Raw genomic sequence first — 14,071 nt, forward strand, 5'->3', positions numbered from 1 at the left:
TGAAACAGCCTTCTCTTGGAGGAAGATGCATCTAGGATTTTCATAGCTAGAGAGGAGAAGTCAATGCTCACTTCAAAGGACAGGCTGACTATCTTGTTAAGTGCTAATGAAACTGGTGACATGAAGTTGAAGCCAGTGTTCACTGACCTTGAAAATCCTAGGGCCCTGAAGAATTATGCTAAATCAACTTTGTGTGTTCTAGAAATGGAACAACAAAGGCTGGATGACAGCACATCTGTTTACAACATGGTTTACTGAAGGTTTTAAGCCCAGTGTTGAGACCTATGTCTCAGAAAAAAAGAATATTCCTTTAAAAATATTATGGTTCATTGACAATGCACCTGGTCTCTGAAGGGCTCTGATGAAGATGTACAAGGAGATTAATGTTGTGTTTATGCCTGCTGACACAATATTCATCCGGAAACCTATGAATTAAGGAGTAATTTTGACTTTCACATCTTATTATTTAAGAAATACATTTCATAAGGCTATGGCTGCCACAGATAGTGATTCTTCTGATGGATCTGGGAAAAGTACATCAAAAACTTTCTGGAAAGGATTTACCATCCTAGATGTCATTAAGAACTCTTGTGATTCATGAGAGGAGGTCAAAATTCTAACATTAACAGGCCTTTGCAAGAAGTTGATTCTCTCATGGATGACTTTGAAGGGTTCAAGACTTTAGTGGAAAGAATAACTGCAGAGGTGATGAAAGCAAGAGAAGTAAAATTAGACGTGGAGCCTGAAGATGTGACTGGATTGCTGCAATCTCATGATCAAACTTGACTGAATGAGGAGATGCTTCCTATGGATGAGCAAAGAAAGTGGTTTCTTGAGATGGAACCTACTCCTGGTGAAGAGGCTTTGAATGAACATTGTTGAAATGACAACAAAGTATTTAGAATATTCCATGGACTTAGGTGACAAAGCAGTGACAAGGTTTGAGAGGATTGACTCCAATTTTGAAAGAAGTTCGACTGTGGGTGAAATGCTGTCAAACAGCATCACATGCTACAGAGAAATCTTTGATGAAAGGAAGAGTCAAATGAAGCATCAAATGTCACTGTCTTATTTTAACAAATCGCCACAGTCACCCAAACCTTTAGCTACTACCACACTGATCAGCCAGCAGCCATCAACATTGAGTCAAGGCCCTCTACCAGCAAAAGCGTTATGACTCACTGAAGGCTCAGAGAACTGTTAGCATTTTTTTAGTAATAAAGTATTTTTAAATTAAGGTATGTACATTGGTTTTTTAAAGACATAATGCTATTGTATACATACTTAGTTTACTATAGTATAGTGTAAATGTAACTTTTATATGCACTGGGAAACCAAAAACTGCATGTGACTGACTTCATTGAGATATTCACTGTATTGCAGTACTCTGGAACTGAACTTACAATATCTCTGAGGTATGCCTGCATGTGAAATGAATCTCTCTGTGTTTAGAAATCAGTCACGTCCAAGTGTGTGATAGGCTATTAGTTTATGTGGGAGGTATAAACAATATTCACAGTGTGGATTAAAGAGGAAGTGCCCACGTTCGCCAACAATTAGGTTCCCTGGTGCAGGGTGGTCCCCTGGGCCTGGTGATGACCTCTGTCAGACTCAGTGAGAGTTGGTTGTGTTGATGGAGGTGGGGTCAGGGTGGGGAGTGAGTGACAACCAGAGTTCAACAAGACAGGGAGGCCATAGAGAGCAAGGGCCATGCAGGCATGCAGACACTGTTGGACAGCTCTGAGGAGGAAATCTTGCCTAAAAATTGTCCCTGGATTCAGGATACTCCAATTTTGAGTTAGGGATCTCAAAACATTCTTTTTTAAAAAATAATTTATCCATCCTACACAACTGAAACTTTGTACCCTTTTACCAACATCTCCCAAGAACACTCTTAAGTGAGAACATTTTGTAGTCAGTTTAAAATTTCAAAGCAGAGCAGGCATCTCTTCAAGTACATCTTTTCATACATTGCCTGGAAATGCTCAAAAGATGCTGCATTTTAATGGAAAAATGAACTCGGGATTATTGGTCTTGTGAGCAAAATGACTTCTAAAACCCAGACTTCCCAAAGGAATGAACTTAAGTTTTTTGTGGCCCACCCCAAAGGTCATGGCAGACTTCCCCACAAGGCACACTGACCAGATTGCTGGGATTCTTCTGGTGGAAGTGACATTGAGTTTGTGAATTGAATGCCTCCTGCAAACTCAGATATTTACGATCTTAAGCCAAACTTAGTCCTTTGGGTCTGGGGATTGATTTCCCTGGGCAAAATGTTGAACTCTAGTCCTAAGAAAAAAGTCTTTGAAAAACTCTTTGGACATGGAATTAGCTCTACAAAGTAACATTTTGGTGCTTTAAAGTATAAACTAACCAAAAACACATGATTTCAGCTTCCCATAAATCACAGAGGGTTTTGCCTAAGAGAAAAATGCATGGCAAAACACATCACGAATAAACAATTTAAGGCAATAATCAGGTTGCACAAGTAGGTCAAGGATTGGGGAAGGTGACATACAAATTTGCATTCAGGTGGAGCATGGAGGGACGTGTTAGCATTAGCCCACGTCTGGTGAGAGACAGGATACCAGGAGTGCTGTTCTAAGGTGAGAGAGTGATTTTTGGTCTCTTGGTTCACTTGAAGCCTGAGCTATCTAATATAAACTTTTATTTGGAATAATTTAGAGAAAATAAGACCAAGTTATTACAAATCTCAAATACAGAATTTATTGAGGAAATGAACTTTTACTAGTCTTCAAATAATATGACTTCCCTGTTAACATTGCTCACTCATCATCACCTGTACTAATGGATTGATAAGAGAGATTTACAATCAGCACATGTGAGCAGAACTTTTGAACTGTGTAAAGGTCTTGAGTGGGAAACATTGCCAGGATTTTAAAATATCCTGCATTTGATATTCTTGGCATTGTAATTTGCCTTGTTCGTGAAGCAATTCTTCTCGAAGGAAGGTCTTTGATGAAATGATCACAGCACTTGGCAATAGTTGAGTCAGGACAAATGTGGCTTTATGTATAAAAACACTCATTTGACTTGCATTTAGGTTGTGAGGTTTGTTGGGAATTTCCTGGACTCTTCATGACTCCTAGGCAAGAGTTCTTTTGAGAAGCTGGGGGTAAGGGAGTGAGGGGTAAAGTATTGAGTATCTTCTGTGTGTCAGGATATTGTGCTTTTCAAGATGTCCTTTTGTAGAATACTTAAAGAAGTTCTTTAAGAAGGCTTATTATCTTAATTTTACAGGCAAGGAAACTAAAGCTGGGGAGATAACGATCATTTAAACAAGATCCACAGTGACCATCATTTCTCCACCTGATGTCGAGCAACATTGTCCAGGATTGGAAAATGCTTGAGTTGGATCAACTTACAGTTTATCAGATTTGCAAAATCTCCTAAAGATGGCCTTGCTCTCTTCTCCAAGGCTGACGACTGGAATGGGAACTGAGGACGCATAAATTAAAAGACTAAAAAGACCAATCCTCTTTTTAATTAAAACAAAGTCCTTTATTACATGAGCACTGGCATTGGTCAAAGCGTGAAGAGCATCAGGATGCCTGGCTTTGAATCCCGAGGTACCACGTGGCAGCACAAAACTCATCAGAGCTTGTTTGTGACGGAGCTGAGTCCAGATGATTGGAGATGAGTCCACATTAGGTCCCTTGCAGTAACAACAAAATAAGTAGCACAAGAACAAATAGTAACAAAATAAGTAACAATAAAATAAGTAAAATAACACAAGTAAATAAAATAAGAATTTAAGTAAAGGACCCAACTTTGTGCAAATTTTGACACTTAGCGGTAAGTACTTACGAGGATAGTCTGTTACTTTGTAGTCAATTTCTGTTAGTGCACAGATGATATCCTAAGTTCACAGAACTTTTCAAGCATCCTAATTGTCAGAGGAAGCTAATCCAGTTGTCCTTCTGGTGCCCGAGTGGTGACCATGCTGTGTTGTTAGAGTCTGGCAGGAATAATATTCCATGTGGGATCTGTGTTCAGTGATGGAAATTTCTCCAAGTGTTGCCTCTAAGAGTCGAGGTGAATTCACCTACTTGGTATGTGGCTGTTTAGGCAACAAGTAATGTCTTTCCTCACTACGATGAAAGCTAGAACATTCGTTGGTTAATATTACAGCCCCTTTTTAACCAAAATAGGATTTGATAAATGGGGTTTAAAAACTCAGGAAAAATTTCTAGTCAAAATTATTATCTCCATCTATGTTAAGAATCACTTGGGACTGGTCTGGCAACAGGAGAAAAGGTGAGGTTAGAGGGGCACCAACAGCTGCTTTCATGTTCCATGATGATACGTCCTATACCCTGTGCTGAAAAGGATGCTTCAGGATGATCATCTTTTATTAACCTCAAAAAGTTTGAGTTTTAATATGTTTGTAGATGGGTAAGTTGGGTTCTGAAGGTTAACCTTGTCTATTTTTTTTTCCAGAGTAGACAGTGTTGTTGAATTGTATGAAAAAAGAAAATCATTCGGAAGGCGCTCTTTTCACTACTCAGATTACTTTTCAAAGCCTAACTCAAACCTGGGCCTTTATACGGGTTCCAATCAGCAACAGCAGGAGGCAGCCAAAAGAGTGGTTCCTGGAAAGTGATCACATCTTTTGTTTATTTGGCAGCCTTTCTCGCATGGTCTATTAGACTGTGACTAATTTTTTTGACCTCGTAGTTTAGAGGACCTTTACGCCCTGAAGGGGAGAAAAATGGTGGAGAGGACTTGACCTTGTTTGCCTATCGAATTTTCCAAGAAGGAGTCCTGCCATCATGTCCTAAATGTCAGAGCTCTTGTCGCTGTACTTATTCTCCCAGTGAAGAAGACTCTGAGTCTCTCTCTCTCCAAGCAAGCCACCTTTGGAGCTGTTTTAACTCTGTCCAATCACAAGGAGCTTAATGAATCCTTTTCCACGGCCTCTCAGCTGAACTCATCTTGCCTTTCCATCTCCTTTGCTGATTTGGACAACTTGTTTGCAGTTGGGACAGCCTGCCTTGAGATAGTGTAAGAGACTTCATTCAGGAGATGTGAATGGAACATTTGCCGTGTGCTGGGCACAGGACTTGGCAGGTTGGGCCCTGGGGTTGGAGAGCTGAGCAAAACAGAGGCATGACTGTTAGGAAAGGTGGACGCTGAATGCAGGAATATGGGGACAGAGGCAGGGTATGGAAAGAGACGGTCACGGGGGATCCAGGGCCAGCTTTCTGAAGGTGAGATGGTTGATTGTCTGTGACCAAAGCAGCCTTCAGGTGAGAGCAGGCCAGAGAGCAGTGGCGGTTTGGGCACTCTGGGGCTGGAGAGAGCCGAATGTGGCTGTCTAAGTGAGAGAGGTCAGACTTCTGGGGCAGAGAGAGGACAAGGGAGAGAGCCCAGAACGGGGCATACAAGCTGGGGCACGGGGCTTGACCTGGGCCTGTTCGCTCATTGGTTCTCTCTCCTGTTAGAGGGTCAGCTCCTGGGAGCAGCAGTGTCCAGTATATGCCTGTGAACAAATGAGCTTTATTCAGGAGGTTTAATCAGTTGTTGATGAATAGCCGCCAAAGACAATTCCAGTCAAGCCGCAGAAGATTCCATCTTTTTTCTGTGTAATGGTGATTATCCCTGCATTGGCAGCCCCTTTGAATCAGACTATCCCGAGTTTGAGAAGGATGGCTGAGTGTGTAGATTTGAAGTCTCAGGGTTCGAAAAGAAAACCTCAAAAGTCATTCTGGCCCCCTCTCCACTTGATTATGGTATTATAATTCAGCATGTTGAGGGTGACGTTGAAAGGAAATTGTGAACGAAGGCAAACTTAGGGAAAACTTGATCAGACAGAAAGTCTTAGGGAAAATTCCTGGCTTTCTCCTTTTCCCTCCAATCTCTTTCATATCCCACGCTTTACCCCTGAAATCCAAAATCTTATAAGTTTTTAGGAGAGAAAGCCACACGTCAGAGAGAACTTTATGGAATAGTTTATTCTATCTATCTATCTATCTATCTATCTATCTATCTATCTATCATCTATCTATCAATCATCTATCAATCATATCTATCACAATCTATCAATCTATCCTATCTATAATCTATCAATTAATCAATCATATCTATCATCATCTATCAATCTATCCTATCTATCATCTATCTATATCTATCATCTATCTATCATATCTATTCTATCATATCTATCTACCATCTATCTATCTATAATATCTATCTATCTAATCTATCTATCTAACAGGAATCAAATAACAATTTGGGAGATTTTAGGTACACCTAATATGAATCTAGAAAAATCCTCTCTTGAAAATCACTAAGAAGCAAAGCAGTTCGAGTCTTACAAGTTACTCTGTAAAAGTGCTTACAAACTTTAAAAAAAACTAATATTTTTTTCCTCCACAATCATCCTCATGTTGCTTAGATTCACATTCTGGGTGGCATACTAGGTTTTTAATGAATATAAGATAAATTATATTAATCAAAACAACAAGAATAGTTTTATCAATTAAATTTGATTATAAAATCTTTAAAGCACGTAGAAGCATACAGGCAGAAATATAATGTTTTGCCATATATCTTTTAAAGAAAATAAAATTAGAGGGACAGTTGAAGTCTTGCCACAGTCCTCCATCCCACACTGAGCCATTTAGTTTCTCATCCTTCCCACCAAGAGGCAATCCTTATATTGAAGTAGGTATGTAGTATTTACATCAGTGTTTTAATACCTTCATTACAAAACTAATACCACATTCTTCTTTCATCTCTACTATAGAGTTATGTATAAAATTAAAATAACATATAGTATTGGTTTGGGTATTTAAAAAATTGCAAACACAGTATGCTACTGTACAGTTTCTATGTTTTCACACTATCACTCTCTCTCATCATGTTTTGGAGACCTAGCCATGTAAATATACATAGATGTCGTCAATCCATTTTAAATGTTCTTTATTATGCCACTGTATAAATATGCCAGAATGTATCTATTCCCAATTGATTTTCAAATATATCAAGGTATATTTGTTTCCAACATTTTCCCTATTAAAGTGTTACAAAGAACTTTCTTACCCATATCTCCATGTGCACCTGTGTTTGGAACTTCTTTAGGGTATATAACTAGAGGTGGAGTTATTGGGTCTTGGGCAATGGTGTCTTTAGCTTTATTAGATCTATCTTGCCAAATGGCTCCCGGATGTGATGGTACCAATCAATTCTCCCAGGAACCTATAAACAGAGTGTGGAGTTCTTACCACTCCATGTTCTGGCCCTCATTTGGTATTTCTAAACTTAAGAAATTGCATTTCAACTTATTTTTTACTTTCCTGATTACCAGTTGGGTGGATCCTCTTTTTATATATTTTTTGGGAATTTTAGATTTTCTCTTCTGTGCATTGTCTGCTGATGTCCTTTTCCTGTGTTCATTTTCTCTTTTGACTTTTTCTTATTTGCTCATGGGAGATATTTATATATTCTGGATACTCAATTTTTCTTTGCAATTTGTATTCTTATGTATTTTCTCACAGTGTAATTTTCTAATAGAGGACAGACAAACAGACTATGCAGAAAGAAAACTTTTCACCTCATTAGGAGATCTGAGTTTCTGTTCCAGTTTTGCTACCAACTTGCTATTTGACCTTGGACAAGTTGTTTCATTTTCCTGGAATGTAGCTACCATAGCTTTAAAGTCATAGAATTTCATCCCAGAGTCTCAGTCTCTTCTATCAGATATACAATACTATCAGAGTTAGATAAGATTAATTGAAGACAGGGTTATGCCCAAATTAGGGAAAATCCTGGATGCTAGAGTATTGAAAACCAGACTGATAATACCTAATCTTTATAAATCATAGAATTTAAAAAACACTGTTTTCATAGTCAAATATGTCTATCATATCTATCCTATCTATCATCAATCAATCATATCTATCATCATCTATCAATCTATCATATCCTATCTATCTATCTATCATCTATCATCTATCAATTAATAGATGCCTGAGGGCAGGCACCATGTATGCTTGCCTGCTGGGGGATATCCTGTGCCTTAAATAATGGCTGCATGATCTTTTTTAAAAGGAAATAAAAATAGGGGGACAGTTGAATGCTCACCACAATCCTGGCCCAATCCATCTCAAGATGAATGGTTTGTTGAATGACAAAAAATCAGTGATCAGCTTATTAGGTATATAATCAATAACTTGGTACTTACCTATCAGGGGTAGTACTTAAGAATGTTTTACCTTCTCCCTCTGAGGTGCGTTAACATTCCCCTGCAATCTTACTTTATTAGTAGAAGAATAACTTTTTTTTTAATGATTATAACTTTGTACCAGTGGAGTCTGACTTAATAAATTTTTATTGTGATTCAAAATGAGAGTTATTTTAACTTGTTGGTGCTTCTATATTTTCTTTTCCTGGTTTTTTTTTTTTTTTTTTTTTTGACAGAGTCTTGCTCTGTTGACAGGCTGGATTGCAGTGGTGCAATCTCAGCTCACTGAAACCTCCACCACCGGGGTTCAAGTGATTCTCCTGCTTCAGCCTCCCGAGTAGCTGGGACTACAGGCTCATGCCACCACACCCAGCTAATTTTTCTATTTTTAGTAGAGTTGGGGTTTCACCATGTTGGCCAGGATGGTCTTGATCTCCTGACCTCGTGATCCGCCTGCCTTGGCCTCCCAAAGTTCTAGGATTACAGGCGTGAGCCACCGTACCCGGCCAGTACTTCTATATTTTCTAGAAAGAATAAAAATGATCATAATAATTAACAAAACCACTTATTACTTTCTTCCCATTGGCCCAAAAAAGCAACTAGAGACACACTCTAAATTTTAAATGAGAATATCCAATCTGTCTCATGGCTGATTGGTTTCAGGAAAATGAATTTGGGTTTGTTTTATCTCTTCATGGTGACTCTCGTTTCTGAATTGAAGTAGGAGTTGATCATCAACTTTCTCATTGTGTAGCTGCATTTGCAAAACTATTTAGCATCCCCTAAGACTAGGATTGGTTAAACGGTGTTCTACTTTCCATTTCTCTGTAGTAGAACCTAGAATCTTCCCTTGGTGGGTCCCTATATTAGTCTATTTTCACACTGCTGATAAAGACATACCCGAGACCCGGAAGAAAAAGAGATTTTTTTTTTTTTTTTGAGACGGAGGCTCGCTCTGTGGCCCAGGCTGGAGTGCAGTGGCGCATCTCTGCTCACTGCAAGCTCCGCCTCCCGGGTTCACGCCATTCTCCTGCCTCAGCCTCCTGAGTAGCTGGGAATACAGGCACCCACCACCATGCCCGGCAAATTTTTTTCTATTTTTTAGTAGAGACGGGGTTTCACCGTGTTAGCCAGGATGGTCTCGATCTCCTGACCTCGTGATCCACCCGCCTTGGCCTCCCAAAGTGCTGGGATTACAGGTGTGAGCTACCAAGCCCGGCCAAGAAAAAGATATTTAATTGGACTTACAGTTCCACATGGCTGGGGAGGCCTGAGAATCATGGCGTGGGGTGAAAAGCACTTCTTAATGGCAGCTGCAAGACATAAGTGAGGAAGAAGCAAAAGCAGAAACCCCTGGTAAACCTATCAGATCTTGTGAGACTCATTCACTATCACTGGAATAGCAGGGGAAAGACCGGCCCTTATGATTCGATTACCTCCCCCCAGGTGCCTCCCAAAACACGTGGGAATTCTGCAAGATACAATTCAAGTTGAGATTTGGGTGGGGACAAAGCCAAACCATATCAGTCCCACTGCTAATAAGTTCTATTGTTTCTTTACGAAATATTTGAGTCAAGTGACTGACAGAGAGCTTCCCATCTTGTTGCTAAGTGACCTGCTGTTCACATGGCTGTGTTTTGCCCATCTTGCTTAGATCTGCCTTGTCCATGAGAAGTCCTGCCTGGGATGCAGAGCAGTTTCCCTCCCAGGTGCCTCCCGCAATTCCCCTTACAGGGTGGCGCTCATTACTCACTAGATGGACTTCTCCGCTGCTGTGTGGGAGAACTCATGTTTCCCCAGAGGGGAGGGAGAGATACTTTCCCCCAACTACTTCTAGATTCTTTTTCCACTGTGCTTTTTTTTCATGAGAGAAGACTGTTCCAGTAGTGTCAAGGAGATATGCTGCTGGCATTAGGAGCTGGAACTGCCATTACTGGGTTAATTGGAGTCAGGGTCAAGTCCTGGTTAAGAATGCCAAGAGACACTAACAAACTGAAGGGGCGATTGGGATATGAATCAAGACACTCACTTAGAAGACAGAGATGGAGATTTTATTCTGAGGTCAATCTTTATAACAAGAAACAGAATCAGGCTGGGCAGGGTGGCTCATGTCTGTAATCCCAACGCTTTGGGAGGCTGAGGCAGGAGGATTGCTTGAGCCCAGGAGTTCATGACAAGCCTAGGTAACACAATGAGATCCTGTCTGTACAAACAATAAAAATAAAAAATTATCCAGGTGTGGTGGTGTGTGCCTCTAGTCCCAGCTACTCAGGGGGCTGAGGCAGGAGGATTTCTTGGGCTCAGTGGTTCTGGGCTGTAGGGTGCTATGCCAATGGATGGGGTGTCTGTGATAAGTTCCACATCAAGATAGTGACCTTCTGGAATCAGGAGACCACTAGATTGCCTAAGGAGGGGTGAGCCAGCCCAGGTCAGGAAGGGAACAGGTCAGAACTCCCACACTGGTCAGCAGATCAGTAGAGGGATCTGTGTATAGCCACTGCCCTCCTCCAGCCTGGGCAAAATAGGAAGACTCTGTCTCTATCATAAAAAATAAATAAAAGACCAAAGGGGGGTGGTAGAGGAAGTCCTCCATTTGGTCTCTTAGGCCAGGATGGGGTAGGGCTGGAGGGAAAGACCATCTGAGTCTCTGACTGTACCTGATGTGGCTCACAGAGGACTTTCCTACCTCTTTGGTTCTTTAGGGAGTTCTGACTCAGGATTTCTTAGCAATGGCCAATTCTTCTACATACAAATCTGTTTCTTTCTTTTCCTTTCCATGCCCCATCTTTGGACATCCAGTCATGAAAGGGAGGCCAGTAGATTTATCAGTTTATAGATAGGAAAAGAAAACATGTGGCTTTGGGTATAAGTGCACTTAAGAAGTCGTATTTGGCCGGGCGCGGTGGCTCACGCCTGTAATCCCAGCACTCTGGGAGGTCGAGGCGGGTGGATCATGAGGTCAGGAGATCAAGACCATACTGGCTAACATGGTGAAACCCCGTCTCTACTAAAAATACAAAAAATTATCCGGGCGTGGTGGCGGGCGCCTGTAGTCCCGGCTACTCGGGAGGCTGAGGCAGGAGAATGGCATGAACCTGGGAGGCGGAGCTTGCAGTGAGCCAAGATCGCGCCACTGCACTCCAGCCTGGGCGACAGAGTGAGACTCCATCTCAAAAAAAAAAAAAAAAAAAAAAAAAGAAAGAAAGAAAGAAAAAAAAAAGAAGTCGTGTTCTAGCACGGCCACTTTCTTATAATTTTAAGTATATTTCAGAAAGCCATCTGTATAGAAAATATTCTCCTATAAACATATAATTGCTAAGGTAATCTTTGATATTGGTTAGAAATCCCTAGAGCTTTACCCTGAAAGGGCCATTTCTAAGATTTATAAAAAGGTAAACTGAATGGGGACAATGACCATGAGGTTCTATGCAGATCACTGGCCTGGAGGATTTTCATAACTTTTCTCCTGTTTTATATTTGTGCTAGTAATATAATACACTGGTTGAAATCAGGGAACTTGGAGGAATAAACAGCTCTGTTTTCTATGAACTGTAGGTAGCTAGCTAGCTGCTTCTGCTAGAGAGAGGAGCAAGGACTAGAATGACACACTTGCAAGTGTCCTTACACAAAGCTGTCCACGTGTCCAGAGCCATGACAAGCTAGGGGACTGTGACAATAAAAGACAACGGTTCCGGCCGAGTTGGTCCCATCCAAGGCTGGGCAGAGGGTGAGGGCTGCATGAACGGTGACTCACAACCTTTCCATGGATTCCATTTCCCTCCCTACCTTGGCCCTGTCTGAGATCCCGTGACTTCACGTCCACGCGAGAACTCTCCAAGTGCCCCGGGCTCCTCAACCACCTCTATCTTTTTTTTTTTTTTTTTTTTTTTTTTTTTTTTTTTTGAGACAGAGTGTCGCTCTGTCGCCCAGGCTGGACTGCAGTGGCGGCAATCTTGACTCACTGCAAGCTCCGCCTCCCGGGTTCACTCCATTCTCCTGCCTCAGCCTCCCGAGTAGCTGGGACTACAGGCGCCGGCCGCCATGCCCAGCTAATTTTTGTATTTTTAGTAGAGACAGGGTTTCACCGTGTTAGCCAGGATGGTCTCGATCTTCTGACCTCGTGATCTGCCCGCCTCGGCCTCCCAAAGTGCTGGGATTACAGGCGTGAGCCACCGCGCCCGGCCCCATCCACCTCTGTTTTGTCTTCACTCCATTCCATGCTGTGCAGCCTGCGGCAGCTCCTTCATTCAACTCGACACAGCATCAATAGCAGAATTCACAATCTCCGCGCTGAGTCAGCTCCTTCTCATGACACCATCTGTCACTTGTGACTCCAGGTTCGTCCGTCTCCTTCCTCTGCTGTGCCTCTCCCTGTTGCTCAGTTGCTAAATCCTGGAAGCTGATTCGTTGATGCTGCCTTCATTGGTGCTGTAGCGGCTTCACTGATGTTGACACCCAGCTCCTCCTTCCCTCCGTCTCTCTCCACACCTCTCTCAGCTCCTTTAGCAATACTCCTCTGGCTCACAGCAATGTTTTCTTTACTCATCTGTCTGTCTTCTGGCCTTGCCCTTCTCTTTTTCCTGCACACAACTCCCTGCCTCGTCACCCTGAGCTTGGCTTTGATCATGAGAGTCCTCTGGTCAAAAATCTTCATTGGCTTCTCTTGGTTGCCCACTGAGTGAAGCCACCTCTCCCTATGAGACCTACTCATAGACTTCATGACTTGGCCCAAATTATCTTTCCAGCCCCAGACTCCAGCCAACTGTACTGTCCCAGGCACCTGAACATCGTGCGGTCCCTGCTGAACAGCCCTTTCTCCTTGACCCGGTTCATCTGTTGCAATCCCATCTTCTAGGGCTTAGATAAAGGAGCAATTCACAGAAGCTGCATTCACCCCCCTGAAACTCTGAAAATGACTCCACACCTCCTGATTTCTACAAAACTTTGTATCTTCTTACAAACTTTATTACACCGGTGTAGGATTATATTTATGTGGGATTATGCCTTATTTACCACGAGATTATAATTTCCTGAGGTTACGCACCATTATTTTCTCAATGTCGTTTCTACTGCACTGGGCCATCAAGCATGCTTTTAAGGGATTGAAGGCCTGAGTGAATGAATGAATGAATGTCCCCCTTAAAGAGTAATTTTTCTAAACATTAGAACATAGACATATTTAAATACAATAATTATATCAGTACTAGTTAATGTTTATGTTCAGACATTTAAACAGTTTCACTGATAAAGAAAAAAACAGAAAATAATTTTTTGCACTTAATACTAGCTACACCTAGGAAACACTGGGCATATTGGATCATAAGGCTGCTATTTTCCAAAACCTTCTTATAAATGCCTCCAGAGCTACTGTATTAGTCAGGGTTCTCTAGAGGGACAGAATAGGATACATAGATATGTATATTTGTAATATATGTTATATTTATATTATAAATATACAATATGTGCATTATATATTTATAATAAATATATTTATAAAAACATATTTAATATATATTTACATATATAATATATATATTATATATGTGTGTATATATATATGTATATATATATAAAGGGGAGCTTATTAAGTATTAACTCACATGATCACAAGGTCCCACAATAGGCCGTCTGCAAGCTGAGGAGCAAGGAGAGCCAGTCCGAGTCCCAAAACTGAAGAACTTGGAGTGTGACGTTCGAGGGCAGGAAGCGTCCAGCACAGAGAAAGATGTAGGCTGGGAGGCTACGCCAGTCTCACCTTTTCATCTTTTTCTGCCTGCTTTATATTCGCTGGCAGCTGATTAGATGGTGCCCACCGGGTTAAGGGTGGGTCTGCCTTCCCCAGCCCACTGACTCAAATGTTAATCT

The 14,071-nt window shown here is 41.4% G+C and overlaps 1 pseudogene; it reads left to right on the forward strand.

Moving 5' to 3' along the window:
* RN7SL766P (RNA, 7SL, cytoplasmic 766, pseudogene) lies at nt 10,438–10,746 on the forward strand (annotated as a pseudogene).

This window comes from Homo sapiens, chromosome 13 (assembly GCF_000001405.40).
Source record: "Homo sapiens chromosome 13, GRCh38.p14 Primary Assembly".
Classification (NCBI taxonomy): Eukaryota; Metazoa; Chordata; class Mammalia; order Primates; family Hominidae; genus Homo; species Homo sapiens.